Here is a 14,881-nt window from a genome sequence, read left to right on the forward strand (position 1 = left end):
AAAATTTGCATGCTTTTCTCCTGTTAATCTATCTCATGTTGGTTTAATTCCTAGGCCTCGCCAGAAACCCTAAAAGGGTAGGGAGAAATTTTTCCTCCCCTACAAGGCAAAATGTAAATGTTCATCAACAGGGAACAAGTTAAATATTGTCTATAACAGTATATAAAATGTTACATCTATAAATAAATACATACAAATGGCCATTAAAAATGGAGCTGCTCTAGGCCAGGCGCAGTGGCTCACACCTGTAATCTCAGCACTTTGGGAGGCTGAGGCGGGAGGATCACTTGAGGCCAGGAGTTCGAGACCAGCCTGGACTACATGATGAAACCCATCTCTACAAAAATAGAAAAATTATGGCGTGGAGGCACACGCCTGTAGTCACAGCTACTCAAGAGGCTGAGGCAGGAGAATCACTCGAACCCAGGAGGTGGAGGTTGCAGTGAGCCAAATTGGTGCCATTGCACTCCAGCCTGGGCAAGAGAGAGAGACTCACTGCAACCTCCGCCTCCCAGGTTGAAGCGATTCTCCCGCCTCAGCTTCCCTAGTAGCTGGGATTACAGGCATATGCCACCACACCCGGCTAATTTTGTATTTTTAGTAGAGACAGGGTTTCTCCATGTTGGTCAGGCGGGTCTCCAACTCCCGACCTCAGGTGATCCGCCCGCCTTGGCCTCCCAAAGTGCTGAGATTACAGGCATGAGCCACCACATGCGGCCATTAAAGTGTATTTTTTAAATACATTTAGGGTTTTTTTAAAAGGGCAAGTTATAAAATGCAATATTCAATAAGAAATTTTGTGATTTGTTGGCCGGGCACAGTGGCTCACGCCTGTAATCCCAGCACTTTGGGAGGCCAATGAGGGCAGATCACCTGAGGTCAGGAGTTCGAGACCAGCCTGACCAACATGATGAAACCCCATCTCTACTAAAAATACAAAAAAATTAGCTGGGTGTCGTGGCATGCGCCTGTAGTCCCAGCTACTTGGGAGGCTGAGACAGGAGAATTGCTTGAACCCAGGAGGCAGAGGTTGCAGTGAGCCGAGATCACGCCACTGCACTCCACCCTGGGTGGCAGAGCGAGACACTGTTAAAAAAAATAATAATAAAATTGTGATTTGTTTAAAGCATAGATACATGAACAGGTATAAATTAATATGCTAACTATGATTTCTCATTCTCGCACAGGATTATGGGTAATTTTCTTTTTTCTCCATCAATATTTCTGATTTTTCTAAAATAGACAACTATTCTTAGGTTCCAAAAGGCATTTTTACATTCTTTTTTAAAACTTCCACTAAATATTAAAATTCCTTAATCCCCTGGAAACATTTTTCTAATAAAAATACATGGCTAAAATTATGGTTTCAGTACAGCTGGTACCCACTAGTTTAAATAAAATTTGGGAATGTCTCAGAAGAGAGATTTCACAACAGTCAATAATTAAGGCAGAAATAATTAACCCCAAAAGGAAAATAATCTTAGCCTACAACAAAAGACTTAGTAGCACAGAAGTTCCAGGGATTTGGGTGTTCTTTTTGGTTTTGCACTGTGAGTGAGCGTATTTGTTTTTATTACATGCATACATTATTCTGTTTTGAAATCTTGCTAAAAGATCACAACCCCTCCTACCACTCAGCTATTCCCCTAGGGACTAGGCAGCCTGCCACATAAAAATAAATGCAGGAAGTGAAGAAGAGCTAACAAAGACATCAGCACCATATGGAAATCACGAAACTGTTGACCAAATAAATTAACAGCCTGGATGGGGTGGGTCACACCCAGAGACTTGGGAGTAGACCCTCAAAATTATTATCCATTATTCTCTACATTTGCTTTATTTTTAAATAAATGATACCCCACATTTCTGTTATTTATTTCTAAGGCACAATTACAATGTTAAAATGATAGTGACATATTATTGTGTTATTCTTTTTTTGAAGCCTTTCCTCTCTAGTTTTTTGGCCTCAGGAACCATTCCTCTTCCCCTTAAAATTATAAAGTTGTTTTGCTTTGTTTAAATTCAAACTAGTATAATGTGTAGTGGGCTACGTGACTGTCACTTCTATATAACAGTGCTAAACTAAAGGTTATGACTAACATGAGAGCACTCAAGTATACATATTTATTCAGCTCCATAAAAGGTAGTCAGGAGGGTTTTCTACACAATGTATGCTCTAGTTAGCAACACTGCTCTATCAAAGTAGGAAATACCACACACAGTAAATGTGCTGCGCTGAGCTTAATGCTTGGAAACTCTTGAAAGGCATGATGCAATTTAACGTATTTTAAATCATTTGATGTTCACTGAACTCTCACTGTAAGCAGAGTATTGTATTCAAGCCCTAGGTATGAGAGAAAGTAGAAAAACAACAGAATCTGGGCCTGATACTACAGAGCATTAGAATACTCGTGGTTGAAAACATAAGGAAAACTCAGTGTTTATTTTAAAAATTTACAGCTCTGTTAAGTACAATCAGTAGCAAGAACAGATTTTTTGATAACTTCACATAAGAAGGTTGGAAGAGGGATTTTCAATAGATAAATGCATGTAAGACAAGAGGTAGGGCATTTAATTTTACAACTAGAGTTTCATTAGGGATTTTTTAAGGGACAAATATAAGAAAACTCCATGTACATTAAAAACTATTAAAAGTTCAACAAATCCTAAAATTTTCTGCTTTGGTTTTAAGTATGTTGCCAAAATCACAATTCAGGAGACAATCACAGAGTTTGATAAACCTTATTTCAGCCAACACAGTTTGCTAGTGAACACCAGGTTTAAAATCCCAGGTTGTGCCTTTTCCAGTTTAAGGCAGGAGTCTTGCTCCAGATTCACTTAAGACTGAGTCATCCACTCTACTAGTTCTAAGATCTTCCATGTAAAGTTATCCTCCAAGCCCAGCACTGCCTTATCAGCAACTCTCTGGCTAAGTTCTGCTTCTTGAGAATAGACAGGGAAAACAGAACAGGAGAAAGTGGGAAACAAGAGATGGATTTGGAGGGACACAGAGGTTACTATGGCTGGGGCCTGCTCTTGGACACTTTCCTCACTCATCTTAGGCAGTCAACACATATTTCTAAGCACCTACTGTGTGCACTGGTAACATAAAGATGAAAAGGCAGGTAGGCAGGTGGAAGCAAGAGTAAGGAATGGCCAGGTGGTTTTGTTTTGTGTTTGTTTGTTTTTTGAGATAGAGTCTCGCTCTGTCGCCCAGGCTGGAGTGCAGTGGTTTGATCTAAGCTCACTGCAACCTCTGCCTCCCAGTTTCTAGTGATTCTCCTGCCTCAGCCTCCTGAATAGCTGGGACTACAGGCCGGTGCCACCGCGCCGAGCTAATTTTTGTATTTTTAGTAGAGACAGGGTTCCACCTTGTTGGACAGGGGTCAAACTCCTGGCCTCAAGTGATCTGCCTGCCTCAGCTTCCCAAAGTGCTGGGATTACAGGTGTGAGCCACCGCACCCAGCCTTGGCCACGTTGTTCTAACACAGCAAAGCTTTGGAGTAAATGAACTGACCCTCCCAAGGCAGTGCCTCTTCTTTCATTCGGAGCAGAGTCCTCCACCTCACCCAAAGAACATATGGGAAAATTATAGACACGAAAAGACTCATCTTACAAGATAAAGATTTGAAAAAAATATGTCTTAGAATTAGACACTTAAACTAGTCCTATAAAAACTACACAAGAAGTTGGAATACTGCAGTGCTACCAATGACTGTTGATTCTTACCACCCAAGCTAGAACACAAACACTACTAAAACTAGTTACTCCACTCACGTAAGTAAAACACAGCCGTTTAATTTACTTTGACAAGTACCAAACATAGTTATTCTAAAAACATCATTATGTCAAACGACAGTGTGTAACAGATTAGTATACAAATACACATGGGCACGTTTGTCGTCATGTCTCCCCCGTCCTGCGTCGCCCCCATTGAAAGCCAGACAGACATAATGCTGACTTACATGGTGGCCCCTAAGCCGGCTAACAATATATACAAGACATGTGACAAGCTTTCTAACTCAAACATTTGCATGTCTACTATGTACAAGTCATCATGTTATCCCACTCAGGACAACCAAAGATGAAATGTTTCTAACCTCAAGAAGCTTAAAATTTAGATAATAATATGTATGTGTATATATACGTTATACAGGTAATGTATAATATATATATACACATAGGTAACACATATAAAGCATATTGTATGTAATGTTTGTAAGCACTTGTGTTAAGTCTGAAATTAATCTGAAGGGGAGCGAGGAAAGAGCTGAAAGACTCCAAAGAGTCTATCTTACAAGTAAATGAAAGTAAAGTACAGGCCTGGCCCAGTGGCTCACACCTGTAATCCCAGCACTTTGGGAGGCTGAGGCGGGTGGATCACCTGAGGTCAGGACTTGGAGACCAGCCTGGTCAACATGGAGAAACCTCTGTCTCTACTAAAAATACAAAATTAGCCGGGCTGTGGTGGCGCACACCTGTAATCCCAGCTACTTGGGAGGCTGAGGCAGGAGAATCACTTGAACCAGGGAGGCAGAGGTTGCAGTGAGCTGAGATCCCGCCACTGCACTCCAGCCTGGGCTACAGGTGGAGACTCAAAAAAACAAACAAAAAAAACACCAGAGTCTGAAAAAAATAAAGTACAAGATAGTATATTTGGAATATGGTTTGATTTACATAAAAATGCACACATGACGGCACATACTGGAGGAAAATAAGCAATACATGAAAACTTGTGTCAGGGCTCAAAACAGGAGTGATTCCTATCCTCACTTCCCAAGATTACCTACCTTGTTTTCTTTTTTCAGCATTTATGTATCTTTTTAAAAGCGTGCCACACACATCTGCGTACAGTCACAGGCTTATGATCAGCAGAGATCTCTAGGATGAAACTATTTAAATCTGAAAACCATGGCCTACTATTGCTCTATTTGGGGGTAATTTCACTTGAGCTGTTTTCAGAAGCAAGTGCACCCAACGCTATGGTAAATTAGACTGAAGGTTTTGTGTTGTGGGATTTCACCCTTCCTACGAAAAGCTCTCTTCCCTCAAACCCACAGACACCACTCCACAATCTGGGGGTTTCTAGTATGATAAATATCTGCCTCCCAAACCCCCCATGGGTCATACGCCACCAAAAATCCTAACCACCTGAACTTAGAAGAAGGCAGAAAGTCTTAATTTATGAGGGAGAGAGGGGTTTCCCACCTGGAGGGACGAGAGCGACTCACTGTCCTCTGTTCCTGGTTCCAGTCACTTACAGGAGCTGGCTGCGCCGTGCTCCCTTCACGCGGCTTTCCACCCAAAGCGCATCACGGCCGCCAGCCCCTGACGCTAGCCCCTTCGCCACCTCCCAGAACCTTCTCTCCCTCTCCCCCACACACGCACACTCACACTCACACATGCAGTCCCATCTGCCCCCGCCAGAGCCGCTCCTTCCAGGGCCCCAGGATGCCAGATCCGGATCCGGGAGATGCAACTTGCGGCGCCGGCCCAGGAGGCTCGGCACCTGCTCGAGCCGCCGGGCCGCGCTCAGCCCCGCGCCGAGCCAAAGCCCGAGTCCAAGCCCGAGTCCAAGCCCGAGCCCAAGCCCGCTGGGTCCGCGCCCTCACCTTGCTCGCCGCGGTCCATGTCTCCAGCCCGCCGCCTCGTGTCCTCTGCAGCACCCCCGCCTGCAGCCCGTCCCGGCTCGGATCGCCCGCCGCGCCGCGCAGAGCTCCTCCTCGCCTCCGCCGGCGACTCCCGCGAAGTCCCCACCCCCAGAGGCGTCGGGCGCGGCGGCGCCGCCCGCCCTCGGCCTGGAGCGCTTTCCTGGGGCGTCACCCAACCACCTGACCCGGTCGACCTGTGCGCTCCGCCACGTCGGCGCGGGCGGCGCAGCGCTAGGAGGGCCGGGCGCACCCCGACTCCCGCACCGGCTGGAAGTCGGCCGGGAGGAGGGAAGAGGACGGCGAGGAGATGGACTCGGCCATGGAGGCTGCGTGGAGCCTGCTTGGGAACCGGGATGGCGTTTGCCTTCCACCATCAAGTTATTTATAAAATCAAAAGTTTCCTCCGAGGCCTTGGAGATGCCCTTTCTCTGCATCTGCGAACACCTACTTTCCTATACTTACAGTAGGAAACACAGGAACGTTATTTAGAAATGCCAGTGGCTCTTTTCTCTCTGTATTTTATTACCTAAATAATGCCCTATGATGTCTTCTCTAACTAGGTCATAAACCAGCATAGGTGAAAATTGCAAAGAATCTCTTGAAAAATTATATAGTCTTTTCCATAGAATGCGGATTTTTTAGGTGACTAGGAAGATTTTCATATAATAAAAATCTGTTTTGAGTGCGGGACTGAGGACAACACTAAAATGAATTAAATCAAATGAAATTAATTAAATTAACCGAAGGTCAGAATTATCAGCAGAGATCTTTGGAAAATGCGTGTTGAGGCGTCATGTCCGTTGATCAAAGGACAGTTTGAGGTTCCCGTAACAATCCAGTTCTTTTCATTAGTAGCGTTAACAATCTGTTTTCACAGGGTTTTGCAGTTACTCGTCTTCCATGAAGTCACTTTGATTGTATGGGTCATGGTCTTCAGGTGGTGTCTCAATTTCGTAAGCTATCTGAGGCTGCAAATGAAGTGGGGCTTCTTTTCTGTGTTGCTTGACGTTTAGGCCGAAGCATTGTGTAGCACTCCACAGACAACAAAGAAGCACTTATTCAGATGTTTTAAAATTACTTGTAGTTACCTGAAGTGACTGTATGCTATTAATATCTCTATACTGTCGTGCTGTATGTAAAGTGTAGCTCTCTCCAGCCTGCATCTTCCAGTGTCTTCTGGGGACGTTTACTGTTTGACTCAACCAGATGTGATCTCTTCTATTTGAGTCCTTCTACTCTGACTGCACTTGGCTCCTCTCCTGTGGCACTCACCCCAGCACTGGTGCCAGGATGCTACCAGTGTATGTTTCACAGTCCTATTAGGTTACAAGCTCCAGGTGGTAAAGTCCTTAAAATGGCCTATTAAAAAAATCAAAAAACAGGCCTGGCACGGTGGCTCACGCCTGTAATCCCAGCACTCCGGGAGGCCAAGGCGGGTGGATCACTTGAGGTCAGGAGTTTGAGACCAGCCTGGCCAACATGGTGAAACCTTGTGTCTACTAAAAATACAAAAATTGTCGGGCGCGGTGGCTCACGCCTGTAATCCCAGCACTTTGGGAGGCCGAGGCGGGCGGATCACGAGGTCAGGAGATCGAGACCATCCTGGCTAACACGGTGAAACCCCATCTCTACTAAAAATACCAAAAATTAGCCAGGTGTGGTGGCGGGCGCCTGTAGTCCCAGCTACTCGGCAGGCTGAGGCAGGAGAATGGCATGAACCCGGGAGGCAGAGGTTGCAGTGAACTGAGATCACGCCACTGCACTCCAGCATGGGCAACAGAGTGAGACTCCATCTCAAAAAAAAAAAAAAAAGTTCCAGGTGGGCAAAGATTATTTTGGTCATCTCTGCATCCTTTAATTCTACCATGCAATTAATAAATATTGTAATTTTAAACCAGGCATGGTGGTGTTTGCCTGTAAACCCAGCTACTCAGGAGGCTAAGGCAAGAGGATTGCTTGAGCCCAAAAAGGTGCAATATTTTTTAAAAAATTTTTAATGTAACATAAAGGTAAATTTTGGCATCAGCAGAAAATTCTGTATGTGGTAAAGAATTTTTGACTAGCTGATGCTGAGATCTATTGTATAGAAATAAACATCTGGAGAGACAATCTCTCAATGTACTAATTTGTGGACAAATAAATAGCACTTGAACGTGAGTGTCCGTTACAAATATTTATTGTTTGTATCTGTTTAACTTACTATATAGTGATGAACTTGTTATGTATGCTGAAAGGAAAAAAAGTCTTATCTTTTGAAGAGCTTATAGAGTAGTTCACATGCAGCAGAGATGGCAAATAGCCTACCTGATAAACAGCCTTCCTGTTTTCCTTCCTAAGATAACCTAAATATTGTTTGGAGTGGCAATGTGCCCAGCTGAAACACTGGGCACTTCAAACTGCCTTGCAGCTGGAGGTGGGTCTCTCTCATTAATGTCCAATGAGATGTGAGCAAACTGTACTAATTGGAATCTCCAAGAAAGCATTTAAAAAGAAGACAGACTTGGCAGCATTACTTGGCCCTTCACCCTTCCCATTCCTGCTTAGAGGGGCAATAGCCATTTTGCAAACACGAGGAAGAAATTCACAAGCCAAGGACGGCAGAAAGAACCCAAGAATCCATGGCATCAGAGACCTGCTTCTTACTGGAAAAAAATAAATGCCTGACTTTGTAAGGCCACTGTAGTTGGCTTTCTGTTAGATGGAGCCAAATGCAATCCCAACTGATAGAATGCGCCATATAGAAAATGCACTCTGGCATGCACCCACGTAGGTGGATACATGCAATCCTGAGCCTTAGAGATAGATTAACTTAATTTTCTCTTTGAGGTTAAATGAGCACTGTTCATACTATAAATATCCTAGTACATGATATTTCCACAAAAGCCTGCTTTTCTCTTACATCTTCCTACTACATGTATTTCTACAAAAGCCTGCTTTTCTCTTGTGTCTTCGTACTACTTCATTTGTTTTCTTCTGACAGAATCTGTGCTTACAATTTATGCTGTGTTACTTCTGAAATGAACAGGTCTTATGTTTTAGCACTCTGAGGAATCTCTGGAGAATGGCTAGCACTTAAACAGAGCACCTGGGTGCATTGAGTTGAACCACATTTAAAAGGCTCAGTACAGGAAAGAAACACTAGATTTACTTTGTGGTGTTATTGTTGATGGGAACGTGGATTTTTTTTAAGTTTCTTTTTTTAAGTTTCTTTTTTCAGAATACTCATTTGTTGGTGAAATTTTTACAAGAAATTGTAAACTTCCCCTGAAACAAATGCATTGAAGCAAATGAAGGTATTGAAAAGGATAGATAGAAACCGACTTATGTAAGTGGAAAAACTCTATACTCTGCCCTTGTTGTATGTATCTTCCTTGACCGATAGCCAGCAGAAATCACACAGAATGTGTGGCAAGTGGGATGCTTTCTGTAGTCTTACCCCTCATATTTGTGGGGCCTGGGGCGAGGATACAAATGGAGCCCCTGGCTTTCTCTTCTGGCTCTGTCCTTTCACTTTGACTCTGTCCTGCACCAGGCTGGCCCACTCCCTTGTGCGTGGATGCCTTAGGACATATCCCATCTCTATCCACCCTTTCCCATCAGCCGAGCCTTGGCCATACCTCCATTCTAGGGTTGCACTCAAAAGGACTGTCCTGGGAGAAAAGCTGAAGGCCTTGACAACAGATGTTGGCCAGTTTAGGCAAGAGATTCTGTAGTTATAGGTATCAGATGCACCGTTGATAAAGAGGGGGTAGATATTTGATGCTAGGGACTGCTCATCAAGGAGAACAAAAGTGGGAAGTCTCTATGGGACCCAGGGCGCCCAGTGGAGGGGCTTCAGGTAGCCTGGGTCTAGGGTTGCTGCCAGATAAGATAAAAGGACACCCAGTTCAATTTGAATTTCAGATAAATGACAAGTAATTTTTTAGTGTAAGTATATCCCTGGCCAGGAGTGGTGGCTCACCCCTGTAATCCCAGCACTTTAGGAGGCCAAGGTGGGTGGATCACTTGAGGTCAGGAGTTCGAGACCAGCCTGGCCAGCGTGATCAACCCCTGTCTCTACTAAAAATACAAAAAATTAGTTGGGTGTGGTGGCACATGCTTATAATCCCAGCTCCTCAGGAGGCTGAGGCAGGTGAATCACTTGAACTCGGGAGGTGGAGGTTGCAGTGAGCCAAGATTGCACCACCGTACTCCAGCCTGAGTGACAGAGCAAGACTTCATCTCAGAAAAAACCCAAAAAAGTATACCCTACAATATTTGCAACATACTTATACTAAAATTTATTATTTATCTTAAATTCTTAGCAAGTTGTCTTATATTTCTATTTGCTAAATCTGACTACCCTACCTATGTCAAAGGGTAGTTCTGGCTCTCTGATTGTTCAAACAAATGAAGGCATATGATACCACAATTTTGAAAATTATATCATCATCCAGGAGAAAGATAGACTCTTCCTGCTTGAATCATGGTAGTAAACAAAGGGATGAAGGTTAGGAGGCCCAAGAGATCAAGAACAAGTTTTGGAGAAAAATTGATTTAATGTCAGGTAATGAACATTTTTTTGCTTAAGATAATTGAATAGCCATCTTATTGTATTCTCTTAGCCATCCATGTAAGAGACTGACTGTGAATATGAAATAAACAACTTTTAAAAATGTGTAGAAACAGGTATTGGCAGGAAAGAGTACTTAACACTAATGGAGGTTGGACACATAAATACCTAAACATTAACAGGAAACGATCTCACACTATTGATTTTGGCTACATTAAGAAAAGCCATAGACACTTAATCTTTCTTGTATGTTTTTAAGCCACTCTGGATTCTGTGTATTTATCAAATTACATATGGGAACTGGGTAGGGAAGGGAGTGCTGGGAGAGCCATTGTCCCTTTTCTCCTGGAGTCTCCACCATCACCGTTCTAATCTTTTCATCTCTCTCTAAGATTACTCCAGGGTATAAAATGCATTAGAGATATGTATATTTAACAATTAAATGATTAACAATATTTCTAAATTTTTACACGGTGTTCAACTCAGTGTCTTACAAACCATTTCACCCCTGCAAAGATAGCTAGTTTTCCAGAATGCCAATGGTCCTCTGGCAGAAATGGTGTAGGCCAGAATGGCAAGTGCCCAGGGTCTTTGATGAAGAGCCAAATTCTGTGCCACTGTCACCAAAATATAACTCTGCAAGACCAGAAACAACTGAAAACTCTGGAGTGGATTTATCTAAACCATCACTTTAAACTATCTGGCCAGGCACAGTGTCTCATATCTATAATGCCAGCACTTTGGGAGGCCAAGGAGGGAGGATCATTGGGGGTCAGGAGTTCAAGACTAGGCTGGCCAACATGGCGACTAAGATACAAAAATTAGCCAGGAGTGGTGGTGGCACATGCCTGTAATCCTAGCTACTTGGGAGGCTGAGGCACAAGAACAGCTTGAACTCGGGAGGCAGAGGTTGCAGTGAGCAGAAATGGCACCACTGCACTCCAGCCTGGGTGATGGAGTGAGACTCTGTCTCAAAAACAAAAACAAACAAAAACATCACTATGGATCTGAGTGTGGTGGCTCAGACCTGTTATCCCAGCACTTTGGAAGGTTGAGGTGGGAGGATTGCTTGAGTCCAGGAGTTTGAGACCAGCCTGAGCAACTTAGTAAGACCTCCTTGTCTCTACCAAAAAGTCAAAAGTTAGCCAAGCATGGTGGTATGTGCCTGTAGTCCCAGCTACTCAGGAGGCTGAGGCAGAAGAATTGCTTGAGCCCGAGAGGTTGAAGTTACAGTGAGTCAAGATTGCACCACTGCACTCAGTGTGGGCAACAGAGCAACACTCTGCCTCAAAAAAAAAAAAAAGAAAAGAAAAAAGAAAAGAAAAGAAGAAGAAAGAAAAGAAAACATCACTATCTTAGGCCTCTCACTTAAGCTTCTCTGGTTCACTGTCCTCATCTCTAAACTATGGAGTCATACTTTAGGATAAAGATGGCATATCAGACACATTTTTATTGATTGATTGATTGAGACATGGTCTCAGCTGTTGCCCAGGCTGAAATACAGTGGCAGGATCAATGCAGCTCACTGCACTGATGTGCAGCTCACTGCAGCCCCAACCTCCTGGGCTCATGCAGTCCTCCCATTTCAGCCTACTGAGTAGCTGAGACTACAGCCATGAACCACAGCATCCAGCCTTATTTATTTTTAAAATGTTTTTTATTGAGATATAACTCATGTACCATAAAGCTCACCCTTCTGAAGTAAAAAATTAAGAGGTTCTTGTAAATTCTCAACATAGATTCATTCTTACTTCCTCTCTATGCTGCTAAAATTACAGTAAAGAGATAAACTCACAAGGACAAAGAGAATGTGAGTGTCTACGTAATGATAATTGATCTTGTGAATCTGAGAAGGCCAAATGCTAAACTGGGAAAGCCAAGAAGAACCTAATTTCCACTGCAGCACTTCCAAAAACCTCAGGACTTGGCATCAGGTATCTGTGGATGTAGAAAGAAAGTGAGGCTCAAAACAAGAGGATTGGTTGAAAGTTTACTTAAGAAGTTGGGTCCCATCCCCTTCCCTATTCTGCAAGAATACTAAAGTGGCTTCTCTGGAGAAGGAAATTTGACAATCTCTTTACTAGAAGACTAAGTACATTTGAGGCTGAGGATTTCCTAATACAGGCAGAAAAATTCATTAGCAGTTCACATCATGAATGCTGTTTCTCCAGCCTTGCTCTGCTTGGTTCTCAGGATGCAAACAGCCAGGCATATACTGTGAAAGCAGGAGACTGAAAGATCCATCTCTCAGGAATTTAACCAACCTAAGAGTAAAGAACCAAAAATGTTGACATTGGATAAACCAGATCACCTTACCCTCAAATCTATGGTCACAAATCTTGCCCACGTACCTAAAGAGACCAGTCAGCTGCTTCATGCTCAGGGCAGGCAGCCATGATCCAGAGAAAAACCCTGATATGGTTTGACTCTGACCCCACCCAAATCTCATCTTGAATTGTAATAATCCCTATGTGTCAAAGGCGGAGCCAGGTGGAGATAATTGAATCATGGGAGCAGTTTTCCCCATATTTTTCTCGTGGAAGTGAATAAGTCTCACAAAATGTGATGGTTTTATAAATGGGAGTTACCCTGCACATGTTCTCTCTCTTGCCTGCTGCCATGCAAGACATGACTTTGCTCCTCTTTTGCCTTCCACCATGATCGTGAGGCCTCCCTAGCCATGTGAAACTGCGTGTCAATTAAACCTCTTTTCTTTATAAATTACCCACTCTCCAGTATGGTTTTATTAGCAGCGTGGGACCCAACTAATACAAGTCCCTTAATGGAAGATAAAGACCAAAATAAACACCATAAAAAGGCAACTTACAGGAAACAAACTATACAAGGAGAAGGAAACAAACAGATCTTTAAAGCTATTGTTATTATATTCAGAGAGATAAGTGAAAATATCCTAAACATGAGACAAAAATAGTTTGCTCTATAAAAAAATGGAGCATTCAGAGAAAAACCAGTTGTTAGAAATTATATTATAGCAGACATTAAAACTCCTGTGGTAGGTATCATTTGGGATAAAGATCTCCAAGGATGTCTGTGTCCTAATCCCAGAACCTTTGGCAAAAAGGGACTTTACAGACTTGATAAAGGTTAGAGATCTTGAGAGAGGAAGATTATCCTGGATTATCAGATGGACCCACTCTAATAACATGTGCTCTTTTGTTTTTGTTTTTTGAGACAGGGTCCCACTCTGTCACCAAGGCTGGAATGTAGTGGCATGATCTTGGCTAACTGCAGCCTCGACTTCCAGGATTCAAAAAAATCCTCCCACCTCAGCCTCCCAGGTAGCTGGGACTACAGATGAGCACCACCACACCCAGCTAATTTTCATATGTTTTTGTAGAGACGGGGTTTTGTCACGTTGCCCAGACTGATCTTAAACTCCTGAGCTTAAGTGATCTGCTCACCTTGGCCTCCCAAAGTGCTGGGATTACAGGTGTGTGCCCCTGCACCCCACCTACATGTGCTCTTAAGAGCTGAGAATCTTGTGACTGAGAGATGCCACAACAGAAAAAGAGGCAGGAGAGTTTCGAAAGCATGAGAGGACTTGACCCACTCTTGCTGGCTTTGAAGATGGAGAAAAGGGGACCATGGGCCAAGGAGTACGGGTGACCTCTATAAGCTGAATGAGCCCTTAGTTGACCACCATCAAGAAAACAGGACCTTAGCATACAATCATGCGACACCGAATTGCAACAACCTGAATATGCAAGAAACAAATTTTTCTCAAGAGCCTCTAGAAAGAACATACCTTGTTAGTCCTAGATACCTTGACATTAGTCCTGTGAGGCTCATGTTAGACTCCTGATCCTCAGAACCATAAGTTAATACCTCTGTGCTACTTTAAGCCACTCCATGGTTGGTTTGGAGTATAAAGTAAATTTTCTAGAGAGAAGACCAAAAAACAAAGGTATGAAAAATAAAGGGGAACATATAAGAAAATCAGAAGACTGATCCCAGAGGTCTAACATCCAAAAAAGAGGCCAAGAGAAAGACATGGAAGAAACAGAAAAAAAGAAGGAATCAGTGAAATAATTCAGGGAATTTCCCCAGACTGAAGGATTTCCAGATTGAAAGGGCTCACTGAGAACACGGCACAAATTTATAAAGTTCAGAACACTGGAGATAAAGACCCCACAAGTTCTAGAGATGGAAAAAAAATGGTCACATTCAAAGTAAAAGGAATAACAATGGGTTTGGAGTCATGGACAACAAAACTAGAAGACAATGGAGGATTAGGCTTAATTTACTGAAGAAAAGTGATTTCTACCTTATTTTCTTCTTAGATTGAAAAGACAGAATGGGAGCAGGTAAGAAAGTTAGGAATGAGTAATACTGAGGGGTGAATAGAAAGGATGAATCCTCATCATTCATAGTGGAAAACTGGTGGATAATGCCGAAAACTGGAATTATCAATATATGCAAGTTATTTAAAAAAAAAAAAAAAAAAAACTAGGCCAGGTGTGGTGGCTCATGCCTGTAATCCCAGCACTTTGGGAGGCCAAGGAGGACAGATCACTTGAGGTCAGGAATTCAAGACCAGCCTGAACAACATAATGAAATCCAATCTCTATTAAAAATACAAAAATTAGCCAGGTGTGGTGGTGGGAGCCTGTAATCCCATCTACTCTGGAGGCTGAGGCAGGAGAATGGCTTGAACCAG

The 14,881-nt window shown here is 43.1% G+C and overlaps 2 protein-coding genes and 1 long non-coding RNA gene across 14 annotated transcripts in view, besides 1 other annotated feature; all 3 read right to left on the reverse strand.

The window, feature by feature from the left end:
* TPD52-MRPS28 (TPD52-MRPS28 readthrough) overlaps positions 1–5,752 on the reverse strand; it is a 252,848-nt gene extending 247,096 nt beyond the window's left edge. The window contains exon 1 of the mRNA NM_001387778.1: positions 5,613–5,752. Coding sequence (NP_001374707.1) covers positions 5,613–5,631 — 19 coding nt within the window. The 5' untranslated portion in view covers positions 5,632–5,752. The remainder of the gene's footprint in view (positions 1–5,612) is intronic.
* The window catches only part of TPD52 (tumor protein D52), a 140,483-nt gene extending 134,731 nt beyond the window's left edge, over positions 1–5,752 (reverse strand). For 9 of the 11 annotated variants that reach the window (NR_105034.2, NR_170693.1, NR_170694.1 and 6 more), the window contains exon 1: positions 5,613–5,752. Coding sequence is in view for 4 of the 11 variants with exons in the window: in NM_001387779.1 (NP_001374708.1) it covers positions 5,613–5,631 (19 nt within the window). In the remaining 7 variants the exon portion in view is untranslated. Of the gene's footprint in view, positions 1–5,208; positions 5,310–5,612 lie in introns of those variants that run through there. The other 2 variants (NR_105036.2, NR_105037.2) reach the window with 1 other exon arrangement.
* Positions 5,584–5,913: a silencer, noted in NCBI's record as "silent region_19319". NCBI's record gives its function as "represses an Ori minimal core promoter by ATAC-STARR-seq in GM12878 lymphoblastoid cells {active_cell/tissue: GM12878}" and the evidence as "EXISTENCE:reporter gene assay evidence [ECO:0000049][PMID:35858748]".
* LOC105375920 (uncharacterized) overlaps positions 11,842–14,881 on the reverse strand; it is a 54,525-nt gene continuing 51,485 nt past the window's right edge. Inside the window, exon 4 of one of the 2 annotated variants that reach the window (XR_929095.3) lies at positions 11,842–12,141. This is a non-coding gene — a long non-coding RNA (uncharacterized LOC105375920). The other variant, XR_929092.3, reaches the window with a different exon arrangement.

The sequence above is a fragment of the Homo sapiens genome, chromosome 8, assembly GCF_000001405.40.
Source record: "Homo sapiens chromosome 8, GRCh38.p14 Primary Assembly".
Taxonomy (NCBI): domain Eukaryota; kingdom Metazoa; phylum Chordata; class Mammalia; order Primates; family Hominidae; genus Homo; species Homo sapiens.